This window comes from Homo sapiens, chromosome 3, assembly GCF_000001405.40.
Source record: "Homo sapiens chromosome 3, GRCh38.p14 Primary Assembly".
In the NCBI taxonomy this organism is placed as follows: Eukaryota; Metazoa; Chordata; class Mammalia; order Primates; family Hominidae; genus Homo; species Homo sapiens.
In genome coordinates this window covers 72,917,187-72,930,569 of record NC_000003.12, presented here as the reverse complement: position 1 = coordinate 72,930,569, position 13,383 = coordinate 72,917,187, and the positions used below count along the sequence as shown (strand labels likewise).

At 42.1% G+C, this 13,383-nt stretch overlaps 1 protein-coding gene and 1 pseudogene across 2 annotated transcripts in view; both read right to left on the bottom strand.

Moving 5' to 3' along the window:
- The window catches only part of GXYLT2 (glucoside xylosyltransferase 2), an 88,870-nt gene that overhangs the window by 46,346 nt on the left and 29,141 nt on the right, over window positions 1-13,383 (bottom strand). For both annotated transcript variants that reach the window (NR_138564.2, NM_001080393.2), the window contains exon 3: window positions 8,235-8,366. Coding sequence is in view for 1 of the 2 variants with exons in the window: in NM_001080393.2 (NP_001073862.1) it covers window positions 8,235-8,366 (132 nt within the window). In the remaining variant the exon portion in view is untranslated. The remainder of the gene's footprint in view (window positions 1-8,234; window positions 8,367-13,383) is intronic.
- Window positions 863-1,727, bottom strand: FTH1P23 (ferritin heavy chain 1 pseudogene 23; annotated as a pseudogene).

Genomic DNA, 13,383 nt, shown 5'->3' with positions numbered 1-13,383 from the left:
AAAGAGGGGCACTCATATCTCCTACTACTGTTGATGAATTGCTTATTTATATCTTTTTTTTTTTTTTGAGACAGGGTTTCACTCCTGTTACCCAGGCTGGAGTGCAGTGGCATGATCTTGGCTCACTGCAATCTCCGCCTCCTGGGCTCAAGCAATTCTCCTGCCTCAGTCTCCTGAGTAGCTGGGACTATAGGCACATGCCACCACGCCCAGCTAATTTTTGTGTTTTTAGGAGAGATGAGGTTTCACCATGTTGGCCAGGCTGGTCTTGAACTCCTGAGCTCAAGTGATCTGCCCGCATCAGCTAGAATTACAGGCATGAACACCTCCTATAGAGAGCACACAGTTCGACTGTATTCTTTATCAACTATAACTGCAACTCTGTTTTTTTTTTTGTTTTTTTGAGATGGAGTTTCGCCCTTTTTGCCCAAGCTAGAGTGCAATGACGCAATCTCAACTCACTGCACCCTCTGCTTCCTGGGTTCAAGTGATTCTCCTGGCTCACCCTCTCGAGTAGCTGGGATTACAGGTGCACGCCACCACGCCCAGCTAATTTTGTATTTTTAGTAGAGACACCATTTCACCATGTTGGCCAGGCTGGTTTTGAACTTCTGACCTCAGGTGATCCACCTGCCTTGGCCTCCCAAAGTGCTGGGATTACAGGCATGAGCCACTGCAGCGGGCCTGCAACTCTGTGTTTTTATTTGATTGTCGAATCCATTCACATTCAATGCTATTATTTATATAGTCGAATTTATGTCTGCCATTTTACTATTTGTTTTCTATATGTCTAATATTTTTGTTGTTCCTCTATTCTTTCTTTTCTGCTTTATTTTGCATTAAGTGAATATTTTCTTTTTTCTGGATGTTGTGGTGCAACTTATAGAAAAAGTAAAGGAAACCCCAACATGCATGCACTGCCTTGGTGACCAGGGAAGTCACCCCATGGCTATGGGGAAATTAGCCTGAGGCTTAGCTTTCGTTATCACTGTCTCCCAGCGTGTGCTTGTCAAAGAGATATTCTGCCGAGCCAGATTCGGGTGCTCCCATCTTGCACAAGTTGGTCACGTGGCCACCCAATTCTTTGATGGCTTTCACCTGCTCATTCAGGTAATGTGTCTCAATGAAGTCACACAAATGGGGGTCATTTTTGTCACTGGCCAGTTTGTGCAGTTCCAGTAGTGACTGACTCATATTTTTTTTTCCCCAAATGTAATGCACACTCCATCGCATTCAGCCCGCTCTCCCAGTCGTCACAGTCTGGTTTCTTGATATCCTGAAGGAAGATTCGGCCACCTCGTTGGTTCTGCAACGTCATCAGTTTCTCGGCATGTTCCCTCTCCTCATGAGATTGGTGAAGAAAGTATTTGGCAAAGTTCTTCAAAGCCACATCATCGCGGTCAAAGTAGTAAGACATGGACAGGTAAACGTAGGAGGCGTAGAGCTCCAGGTTGATCTAGCGGTTGATGACGGCCTCTGAGTCCTGGTGGTAGCTCTGGCGCACCTGCGAGGTGGACGCGGTCGTCACGGCGGCGGCTAAGGAGAGGCGGCGGTGGCTGCGCGGCGCTGGAGCGGCGGCGGGCCTTGGGGCGGTACCGAGGGCGCGGTGAAGTGGTGACGGAGGACTGGCTATGGGCGGCCGGCCGGGATGGGGGACGAACGCCGGGTTCCGTCCAAGCACTGTTGAAGCAGGAAACCCCGACGACTCCCGGCGAGGAACGTCTGGCAAAGTGAATATTTTCTAATAGAGCATTTTAATTTATTTTTTTATGGGGTTTTTTTTTGGAGTTATTTCCTCAGTGGAGCACAAATTGCCCCCACAGTCTGATCCAATTAAATTAAGGACCATTTGAATTTTTGAGGCTAGTCTGTGATATCTGTTATGACTCCAGGAGGGCACGTTTTACCTGCATTGTCCTCTGGCTCTCCCTTGTAAACTAACTGGCCTATGGTTTAGCTTGCTGTTCTCATTAAGGTGCAAGCCTCCTCTTAATTAAGAAACACCCTGGCTTCTAGGCCACACCTCCATGGAATTTAGGCTCTGCAACACATAGCTAGCTAGTAGCAATAAGAAATGCTGATGGCCTGTGCCTCCCAAGGAGATACCATGTTCCTCAACTGGGAGCTGGAGAGAGAGGAATCCCTGTGTTCTTGAATGAACTTCAGGTAGAAGGTGAATTTTTATCACACTGAACTGGAAGGGGGAAGGAGGGAGGCTGTGGTTCAAATGTCACCGATTCTCACTCTTCTTACCAAGTTTTAGTAGATTTTCTTGAATAAATGTTCCTTCATTTGCCTAGGTCCTTAGGACAATTTCCAAAGTATTTAGATAGTTATTTTAAAAATTATTTTCACAAGTTATGCTTGTTTCACTGGGGAGCAATTCCACAGGGCTCCTAATGTCACCATTTTGGAAGTTGCTACCTTGCCATGCTCTTTTTCTGCCGTAGCTGCTAAGCTGCTAGAATTTGGATTTCAGGCTGCTTTGAGCAATCATTATGCTTATGGAGTAGCCTTGCAAGGGACTGAAAGAGAGAGACAGAGTCCTGATGACATTATGTTAGCCTCTGGATCTAGCTGTGCTTGGAATCAGCCCTACAGTGTGGACTTTGCAGTTAGATAAGCCAATAAATTAATTTCCTTCTTTGCTAGTTGGAGTTGAGTTTCTCTCACATATAACCAAGAGTTGTAGCTAATATCCTGAATGTCAAACTTTTAATAGTGTATGAGTAAATGATAAGTACTGTGGAAAGCTTGTTCAACAAAATTGGTATCTAAGGTCATTTCATGTAATCATTTAGGTGGCTAATCTCATCCAAATAATTTATGGCCTCTTGGTGCTTGATGAAATGTATAAACATCATTTATGGTGATTCTAATTGGTGTTCCCCTTAATAAGGATTTTTAATATATTCCTATATGTGTGTCAATATTTGTTAATATCCAAAGGGTTTGTTGCAAGGATGTCTCAATGTTAATTGCAAATACTGAGGTGTAATATTAATAATAATATAGAGGTCTGACCTTAATTATAAAAAGTTCTAAAAAGTATGATAAGCTTCCTTTTTCCATTAGCCTACAGCTAACTCATGAAGACATCATTGGTAAGCATGCAGATTTCAAAACATTAGAACCAGTTACCGGTCTCTTTAACAAGCCGTAAGTAGAAAAGAGAAGATTATACATTGTTGCTTTCACTACATAAAATAAAGATTTATCTTTATTTGGCATGGTAGTCCTTTGAAATATTAAGGAGTGGGACAAGTTTCTTGGAAATATGGAGTCAGAAAACTTTCAGAATACATTTACAGGTTAAAGCTATAACTAATTTGGCCAGGTGCGGTGGCTCACACCTGTAATCCCAGCACTTTAGGAGGCCTAGGAAGGAGGATCACTTGAGCCCAGGAGTTTGAGACCAGCCTGGGCAACATGGTGAGACTCTTGTCTCTACAAAAATTTTAAAAATTAGCTGGGCATGGTGGTGTGTACCTGTGGTCCCAGCTACTCAGGAGGCTTAGGTGGGAGGATCACTTGAGCCCAGGAGGTTGACGCTGCAGTGATCCATGATTGCACCACTGCACTCTAGCCTGGGCAACACAGTGAGACCCTCTCTAACTCCTTCCTTAAATATGGCTATCTATGGTGAATGTTGGGAGCAAAAAAGACATCAGACATTATCATAACCTTGGAGCTTATTAAAACTTGGTAAAAACAAAACCAAAAACATTTATCCCTGGATACAACCTTACCCTACCTCAAATTACCATATTGGGTACCACTCACTAATAATGTCTCTAAAGGTTCTGCAATCCAGTGATGTCTGTCATGTTTTACCTATCTCTAGGATTCCCAGAAGACCACAGTTATTGAGGAGAGAAATCTTCATAATTTCTCTCCTCACAGCGTGTAGCAAAATGTACAGATCTATTATAAAATCTCACTACTTCCAATTAATTGGGGGAAAGGTGATGTGAATTCATACAACTCAATTACTCTTACAGATGTAAAGGATTTCTGGCCTGTACTAAGAAAATAAAAGTATTCCAGAATCAATTTTAATGAACACATTTGATTTATTTGTAATTGGCATATTGTTTTAAATATTTTAAGCTTCTGAATTACCTGAAATATGCATTTTAGAACGCTTAACCAAGCCATCTGCAGTTTAGTTTGCATTCATAATGATCCCATGTCATAGGACCATTAGTCACAGAAGTAGAGGAGTAAATGTCCACTGATTTGTAGGAGTTCATAAATTTTGAATTGGTGGGATCTGAATCACACTAATTGTACCTGAGAATCTAATTGGCTTGAGTTGCAAAGACTTATGCTCTGATATTATTCAGATAGTAAAATCTTAGTTGAGAAAGGGTCTCTTCCACAGTTTTGGGTAGATGACAGCCTCTTGGAAAATGGGTGGGACCATGGTCCTCAGTCAACTGACTACCTGATAGAATGTTTGCACTTTAGGATCTCCATTTTCTCTGTGCTCCTGAGGCAGCACACCTGATATGGTTTTAAAGAGATGAATTCCAAGGAAAACACAACCTAGACTTTAAAATTACCCTCAAGATCAATACATCTCACTGATGCCCAAAAATGCCATGTTCATAATCTGCTGTTGTGATATACAACTAGGAAAAGGTAAATGTCCTGTCAACCACAATCTCTCTTTATTATTTTTAAAGAGGGCTCGTTTCCATTATCAGAAGCAGATAAGGAATGCCAGCACCCATTTGTCATTCAAAACCAAGCACCTACTTAGCTGGGAAAGAATTAAGGCCATTAGGTGATGAATTTGTTTTTTTTTAAATAATGGTAATAAAGTCACAATTCAAGGTCAACAAAAATTCAAATGTAGTTCCATTGGGTAGCTAATATTTTGGATAGAATGGGAAGACCATTTCCCAACATTACCTTTGGTTTTCTAATACTTATTTTTTGCAAAAATGGAGACAAGCAACAAACCTAACATTTTCTCTCACCTCAAAGAGTAATCAGTTTTTATATCACCAACCTAGAGATTTTCGTGTCAATTGGAGGGAGTCTTTTCCTACCCCAGTTTTTATGCGATTATATATAAAGGTCTGTGACATGTGAAGAACAGACGATGTGGCCAGGCGCAGTGGCTCATGCCTGTAATCTCAGCACTTTGGGAGGCCGAGGCGGGCGGATCACCTGAAGTCAGGAGTTCAAGATCAGCCTGACCAACATGGTGAAACCCTGTCTCTACTAAAAATACAAAAATTAGCGGGGCATGGTGGTATGCGCCAAAATCCCAGCTACTTGGGGGATTGAGGCAGGAGAATTGTTTGAACCCAGGAGGTGGAGGTTGCAGTGAGCTGAGATTGTGCCACTGCACTCCAGCCTGGGCGACAGAGTGAGACTCTGTCTCAAAAAAAAAAAAAAGAAAGAAAAAGAAAAATAGATGACATAATGAGCAAGTGAGCTTGGGCAGCTGATCGCTGCCAACAATTCATCCAGGGTTTATTCTGCTCACAGGTCTCTGCGTAGGAAATGCCAAAAGGGCTACTCCCCAGTTAGTGTTTCCAGACCGATAGATGTGACGATTCCTTCTGCTTGAGTATCCTCAGCCACCTCAAAATCAAAGTATGACCCAAATTAAACTCATTTGACCCCTTTACCAAAACTGCTTTTCCCTGTCTTTTCTATCCCTAAATGATTCTGCCATTTATTTCTTACGTTGAGCCATAAGAAATTACCTTTTTGTAGGTCATTAATGGTTGAATACTGGCAATTTCAAATGGATCAACCTTAACAGTTGTTCAGGTTAAAAAAAAAATCTGGTAAAATCCTTTTCATGTCACTCCCCCTTCAACTCTTACAACGAGCCAATCATGAAGGTTGGTAAATTCCGTTTCAGGCAGGTCCATTATCCATCTCTAAGGCAACCATCAAAGCCCAAACCAAGTTAGTGACCTGGCTTCACCAACCCTGTCTGCGCTGCCATAAACCAGAGTGTCTTCTCTAAAACACAAGTTAGAACATGCCACTTGCTGCAAAAAATCATCCAGTGGCTTCCCACTGCCCTTAAGAAAAAGACTGGGCTGAGTGCTGTGGCTCTCATCTGCAATTCCAGCACTGTGGGAGGTCAAGGTGGGAGGACCGCTTGAGCCCAGGAGTATGTGAGGAGTATGTGACCAGGCTGGCAACATAGCAAGACATCATCTCTACAAAAAATAAAAAAATTAGCTAAGCATGGTGGCTCACACCTGTAGTCCCAGCTACTTGTGAGGCTCGGGTGGGAGGATCACTTAAGCCCAGGAGTTGGAGGCTGCAGTAAGCCATGACTGCACCACTGCACTCCAGCAGGGGCGACAGAGAGTGACCTTATCTCTTAAAAAAAAAAAAAAAAAGACAAAGACCAGACACTTCTAGATGGCTTGCTGAGCCTGCAAGCTCCAGTCTCTGCTGATTGCTTCATTCTCATCTCACTTTCTATTTTTTGGTTACTATGACCTTCTTTTATTTTCTTAAACATGGCCCTTCCCACCTTAGGGCCTTTGTATATACTGTTCCATCTGCCTGGACCCCTCTTTTCTCTCATTACCCCCAAGGCCCTTGTCACCTAGTAACCCTTACTTCTCCTTCATTCATGTCTGCATAAATGCCACTGCTGGACAGGCATGGTGGCTCATGCCTGTAATCCTACTACTTTGGGAGGCCAAGGCGAGAGGATCACTTAAGCACAGGAGTTCAAGATCAGCCTGAGCAATATAGCGAGACCCCATCTCCACAAAAAAATATGCCACTGCCTCAGGAGAACCTTCTATGATCTCTCTCAGACCAGGATGGAACCCCATGTTACATACATCCATGAGATTATCTCCTCTTAGTACTGGTCATACTTCTAATTATTTGTTCAAGGCCCTACTAGACTCAAGCTTCAAGGAAACAGGACCATGGCTGTCTTATTACCATGTCATCATCACTGAGCCAGGGCCCAGCACCCTGGTGGGCACTCAACAAATGTCTACTGAAGGCATGAATCCCTCACAAAAATTAAGGCAGCAACTGACAATTCAAAGTTGCTATCCCTGTGCAATATTATTCTCACTTTTGAAATATCTTTTTCTATTGAATATTTTTATTATTATTTGATTTTTAAAATTTTATTTCTTTATTTACTTTTTTGAGACACGGTCTCAGTCTGTCAGGTAGGCTGGAGTGTGATGGTGCGATCATGGCTCACTGCAGCCTCAACCTCTTGAGCTCAGATGATCCTCCCACCTCAGCCTCCCAAGTAGCTGGGACTACAGGCATGCGCCACCATGCCCAGGTAATTTTTTTTTTGAGATGTAGTTTAGCTCTTGTTGCCCAGGCTGGAGTGCAGTGGCGTGATCTTGGCTCACTGCAAGCTCTGCCTCCTGGGTTCAAGCGATTTTCTTGCCTCAGCCTCCTGAGTAGCTGGGATTACAGACATACACCACCAAGCCTGGCTAATTTTTGTATTTTTAGTAGAGACAGGGTTTCACCATGTTGGCCAGGCTGGTCTTGAACTCCTAACCTCAGGTGACTCACTCGCCTCAGCCTCCCAAAGTGCTGGGATTATAGGTCTAAGCCAACACACCCCGCCTAATTTTTGTATTTTTTGTAGAGATGGGATTTCACCCTGTTGCCCAGGCTGGTCTCAAACTCCTGTGCTCAAGTGATCCGCCTGCCTTGGCCTCCCCAAGTACTGGGATTATAGGTGTGAGCCGCCATGCCGGCCTCAAGATTTTAAAAAAGCAACCAAAAACATGCAATTTAAAAATTCATTAAACTAAAAGACTAAACCAAAATTCTGGACCCTTTTGGAATGATAGCCTAGTATGGCCATAACTAGTAGTTGTTATTGTGATAAGAGAAATAACAATAATCCAGGCTAATATTTATTGAGGGCCAGCTATGTGCCAAGCCTATGGATAAAACTGAAGTTAGTAAAGTTGGGGGATTTAACGAGGTTCACAGGAGCCAGTAAATAATGGAACCATAGTCACAAAGACCAATGATCCAAGACAGGATTTGAATGCTCACAGTCCCTCAGTCTTTCGGTATGACAACCTCCAGAACACAGGGATCCTCTCTACATGCTGCAGACTTAGAGCATCAGCTCCAGAATCCAAGAGACACAGGTTTTCAGCTGTTAAGTTAAATGTTTCTACACACATCTCAGCTAATTTTACCTTATTTCCAGGAGCAAGCTACAACTTATTAAAAACAGGTGTTCCTACCGGAAGAAAGAGTCTCTGGGCAGCACAGGGTTTGAACAATTTCTTCCACTCCTGAGGGTTTCCAACAGAAAATGTGATGGGGTAGATTCTGTGCTCAAACTTCTTTGTATATGAGTCAGGCCACTGGCGTAACTGAAAAACATGGGAAGCAAGGGAAGGGTGATTAGGCCCTAGGAAATATGGAAAATGCCTGCGAAGCTTCTGGATGGTCAAATGGAAATTATTCAGGCAACTTACACAGAAAGTCTAACTTCATCACCACTATGAATGTTCACTAAATGAAAGAGTATTTGCTCCTACTAAAATTGCTAAGATTTTAAAAAATAACATTCACCGTTGGCAACAGTGTTGAGAAACTGCAGAGGGGAGTATAGATTTGAACAAACTTCCAAAAGGTTAACTTGGAAACTGGTAACAACACCCCAAAAGACAGAGGTACAAGGACATTCACCACAACCTAGTTTGTAATAACAAGACTTGAGAACTTTGCAGCTTGGAAGAGGAAAAAAACCCAACAAACTTGGGAACAATCAAAATGTCCAATAATAAGGAATTGGGACAATTAAGTATGACAGAACTATATAATAAAATAATGTACCGTTAGAGGGACCAGGGATGGTGGCTCATGCCTGTAATCCCAGCACTTTGGGAGGCTGAAGTGGGTGGATCTCTTCAGGCCAGAAGTTTGAGACCAGCCTGGCCACACAGCAAAACCCCATCTCTACTAAAAAACACAAAAATTAGCTGGGCATGGTGGCACATGCCTGTAGTCCCAGCTACTCGGGAGGCTGAGACACGAGAATTGCTTTGAACCAGGGAGGCGGAGGTTGCAGTGAGATCGTGCCACAGTACTCCAGCCTGGGTGACAGAGCGAGACTGTGTCTCAAAAAAATTAAATTAAATTAAATTAAATTGAAAAAGAAAAATAGAATAATGTACAGTTAGAATAAAGTAGATGTCTTTTGTGTTATTTGTGGCAGGCTGGATTTGGCTCTTGTACTCCCATAGTTTGCTGACCTCAGTTCTATATCATTGTCACTAATGACTGCATTGTGTTCTGTTATGTAGATATGTACTGACATGGAAAACAGTTATAACATATAGTTGGGTTTTGGAAAAAGCAAAGTGCAAAAAAACTATAAATTTTTTTTTTTTTATTTCTTCACTACTGTCTGAATGAATGGTTCTGTCTTATAGGAAAAAATATATGCATGAGGCCGGGCGTGGTGGCTCACACCTGTAATCTCAGCACTTTGGGAGGCCCAGGCAGGGGGATCACTTGAGGTCAGGAGTTTGAGACCAGCCTGGCCAACATGGCGAAACCCCGTCTCTACTAAAAATACAAAAATTAGCTGGCGTGGTGGTGGGCGCCTGTAATCCCAGCTACTTCAGGAGGCTGAGGCAGGAGAATCACTTGAATCCGGGAGGCAGAGGTGGAGGTTGCAGTGAGCTGAGATCATGCCACTGCACTCCAGTCTGACGGACAGAGTGAGACTCTGACTAAAAAAAAAAAAAAATACATATATATATATATATGCATGTACATTTTATATGTAAAGAAAAACCTAGATGGATATGCACCAAATTATTAAAAGTGGGCACTCTATAGCTGGTGATGGTGGTTTCATTTCCTCGGGCTACATTTCCATATTCTTTAGAATTTTTACAATGAGTATATATTACTTTCTTTGCATATATTAATTTTATAACAAAATTTTTAAAATACACTTTTAGATTTTAGAGCAGTTTAATGTTTACAGAAAGTCAGCCAGGTGTTGGTGGCTCACGCCTGTAATCCTAACACTTTGGGAGGCCAAGGTGGGAAGATTGCTTAAGCCCAGGAATTTGAGACCAGCCAGCGCAGTATAACAAGACCTGCCTCTTAAAAAAATTAAAAACAAGGCCAGGAGTGGTGGCTGACGCCTGTAATCTCATGACTTTGGGAGGCCAAGGCGGGTGGATCACTTGAGGTCAGGAGTTCAAGACCAGCCTGGCCAACATGGTGAAACCCGGTCTCTACTAAAAATTCAAAAATTAGCCAGGAGCGGTGAGGCACGCCTGTAGTCCCAGCTACTCAGGAGGCTGAGGCAGGAGAATCACATCAACTCGGAAGGCGGAGGCTGCAGTGAGCCAAGATTGGACCACTGCACTCCAGCCTGGGTGACAGAGTGAGACTCTGTCTCAAAAAATAAAAAAATAAATAAAAAATAAAAAAAGTAAAAACAAGAACAACAATGAAAACAAACAAGAAAAAAGAAAAATTGAGCAGAAATCAGAGTTTCCAGATAGCCTCTCTCTTCTCCCTCCCCTACAGTTTCCCCTATTATTTATATCTTGCATTCATGTGGTATATTTGTTACAACTGATAAGTCAATATCAATATGCTATTACTAACTAAAGTCCACAGTTTACATTAGTGTTAATTCTTTCTGTTGTACACTCTTTCTATGGATTTTGGCAAATGCACATCATGTATCTATCATTACAGTATACAGAACAGTGTCACTACCGTAAAAATCCTCTCTGCTCCAACTTTTCAACATTCCTGCCTGCCCTCTCACCTGAACTTCTTTTTGTTTTTGAGACAGAGTCTCGCGCTGTCATCCAGACTGGAGTGCAATGGCGCAATCTCAGCTCACTGCAACCGCCGCCTCCCACGTTCCAGCAATTCTCCTGCTTCAGCCTCCTGAGTAGCTGGAATTATAGGTGACTGCCACTACACCCAGTTACTTTTTGTATTTTTAGTAGAGATGAGGTTTCACCATGTTGGTCAGGCTGGTCTCAAACTCCCGACCTCAGGTGATCTACATGCCTTGGCCTCCCAAAGTGTTGGGATTACAGGCGTGAGCCACCGTGCCCAGCCCATTACTGATCTTTTTATATAGTCTCTTCATGTTACCTTTTCCAGAATGTGATATAGTTAGAATCATATAGTACCTTGCCTTTTCAGACTGGCTTCTTTCATTTAGCAATATGCATTTAGGTCTCCTACATGTCTTTTTGTGGCTTGATAGCTCATTTTATTTTAATCATTTAATAATACTGTATGCTATGGTATGAATATATCACAGTTTGTTTATCCATTCACCTACTGAAGGATATCTTGGTTGCTTCCAGTTTTGGGAAACTGTGAATACAGCTGCTACAAACATCTGTGTACCGGTTTTTGTGTGGACATAAGTTTTCAACTCATTTGGGTAAATACTTAGGAGTTCAATTCCTGGATTGTATAGTAAGCCTATATTCAGCTTCCTAAGAAACTGCCAAACCGTCTTCCAAAGTGGCTGCATGATTTTGCATTCTTACCAGCAATGAATGAGAGTTCCTGTTGCTCCACATCCTCACCAGCATTTGGTGTTGTCAGGGTTCTAGATTTTAGCCATTCAAATAGGTGTGTAGTGGTGTTTCATTGTTATCTTAAGTTACAATGCTCTAATCACATATGACACTGAACATCTTTTCATATGCTTGTTTGCCATCTGTGTATCTTAATTTTTTTTTTCTTTTTGAGACAGAGCCTTGCTCTGTTGCCCAAGCTGGAGTGCAGTGGCATGATCTCAGCTCACTGCACTCTCTGCCTCCCGGGTTCAAGCAATTCTTGTGCCTCAGCCTACCCGAGTAGCCTCCCGAGTAGACGCGCACTACTATGCCCAGCTAATTTTTTTGTATTTTCAGTAGAGATGGGGTTTCGCCATGTTTCCCAGGCTGGTCTTGAACTCCTGAGCTCAGGCAATCCGCCCGCCTCATCCTCCCAAAGTGCTAGGATTACACGCATGAGCCACCGTGGCTGGCCCTTCTCAATTTTTTTGAGTTAATGCCTTCCCGTTGCTACAACAATTCTAAGAATTATTCCTAAGGAAAAATTTCAAAAATGGATACTTGTTTATTACAAGGTTGTTTGTTTTAGTGTTGTTTGTAACAATGAAAAATTAGAAACAATCTAAAGAAGAGTTTGGTTAAGTAAGCTCCAGAGTCTATCTATATAACAGAATGCAATGTAGTCATTAGTGATAATGTCATAGAACTGGGGTCAGCAAATTATGGTAGTACCAGAGCCAAATCTAGCCTGCCACAAAGAGTACACAAGCCAACAATGGTTTGGCATTCTAAAATAGTTTTAAAAAATCAAAACAAGAATAATATTTTGTGACAATTATATGAAATTCAAATCTCAGTGCCCATAAGTAAAATGTTACCAGAACACAGCCACACCCATTTGTTTATATATTGTTTGTGGCTGCTTCTACTCTAAATAGCACATTGAGTAGTTGGGATAGAGACCATACAGCCTGCAAAGCCTAAAATAGTTACTATCTGGCGTTTTCCAGGAAACATTGGTCAACTCACTTTAGAGGAAACTCAGTAATATAAGCATCAGTGATATAAAAGAGATCCCATTTCTGATGGTGATATGAAAAGAAAAGGAATGGAAATAAGTATTATATATATACACCAAAACTGTTCTCCCTGAGCATTAGTGTAATGGGTTTTTTTTCCATTTATTATTTATGAATTTACTGGTTTTTACAATGTACATATATTGTTTATATAACCATATAAACTTTTTTTTTTTTTTTTGAGATGGGGCCTCACTCTGTTGCCCAGGCTGGAGTACAGTGGCACGATCATGGCTCACTGCAGCCTTGATCTCTCTGGGCTCAGGTGATCCTCCCACCTCAGCCTCCCAAGTAGCTGGGACCACACATGCATGCCATCATGCCTGGCTAATTTTTCTATTTTTTACTGAGACAAGGTTTTGCCATGTTGCCCAGGCTGGGATATAAACATTTTTTGAAATACATGATTGGAAATACTTTAAAATTCTTAATAGGAAAGGAGTGACAGACAAAGTATTTGACATTTGATATATGAAGGGTACTGACCAATTAGAACCCACACCAGGCATTACCTAGTATTTACCCAGTATAATTGCACAGATCCCATTAGAACTGACGCTAGGCATAAACTCTCAGTATGACAGTACTGACCAGTCAGAATGAACACTGGCACAAATACTGGGCACAAATACCAGTACAATTGTACCACCGCACAACAGCCCAAAATCAGCCCTCGAAAAAGTATGGGAAATTCACATGGTTCACGGGCTCCCTTAGCTCTCGGCATCCTCTAACAGTCTGAGAGGTTGGGG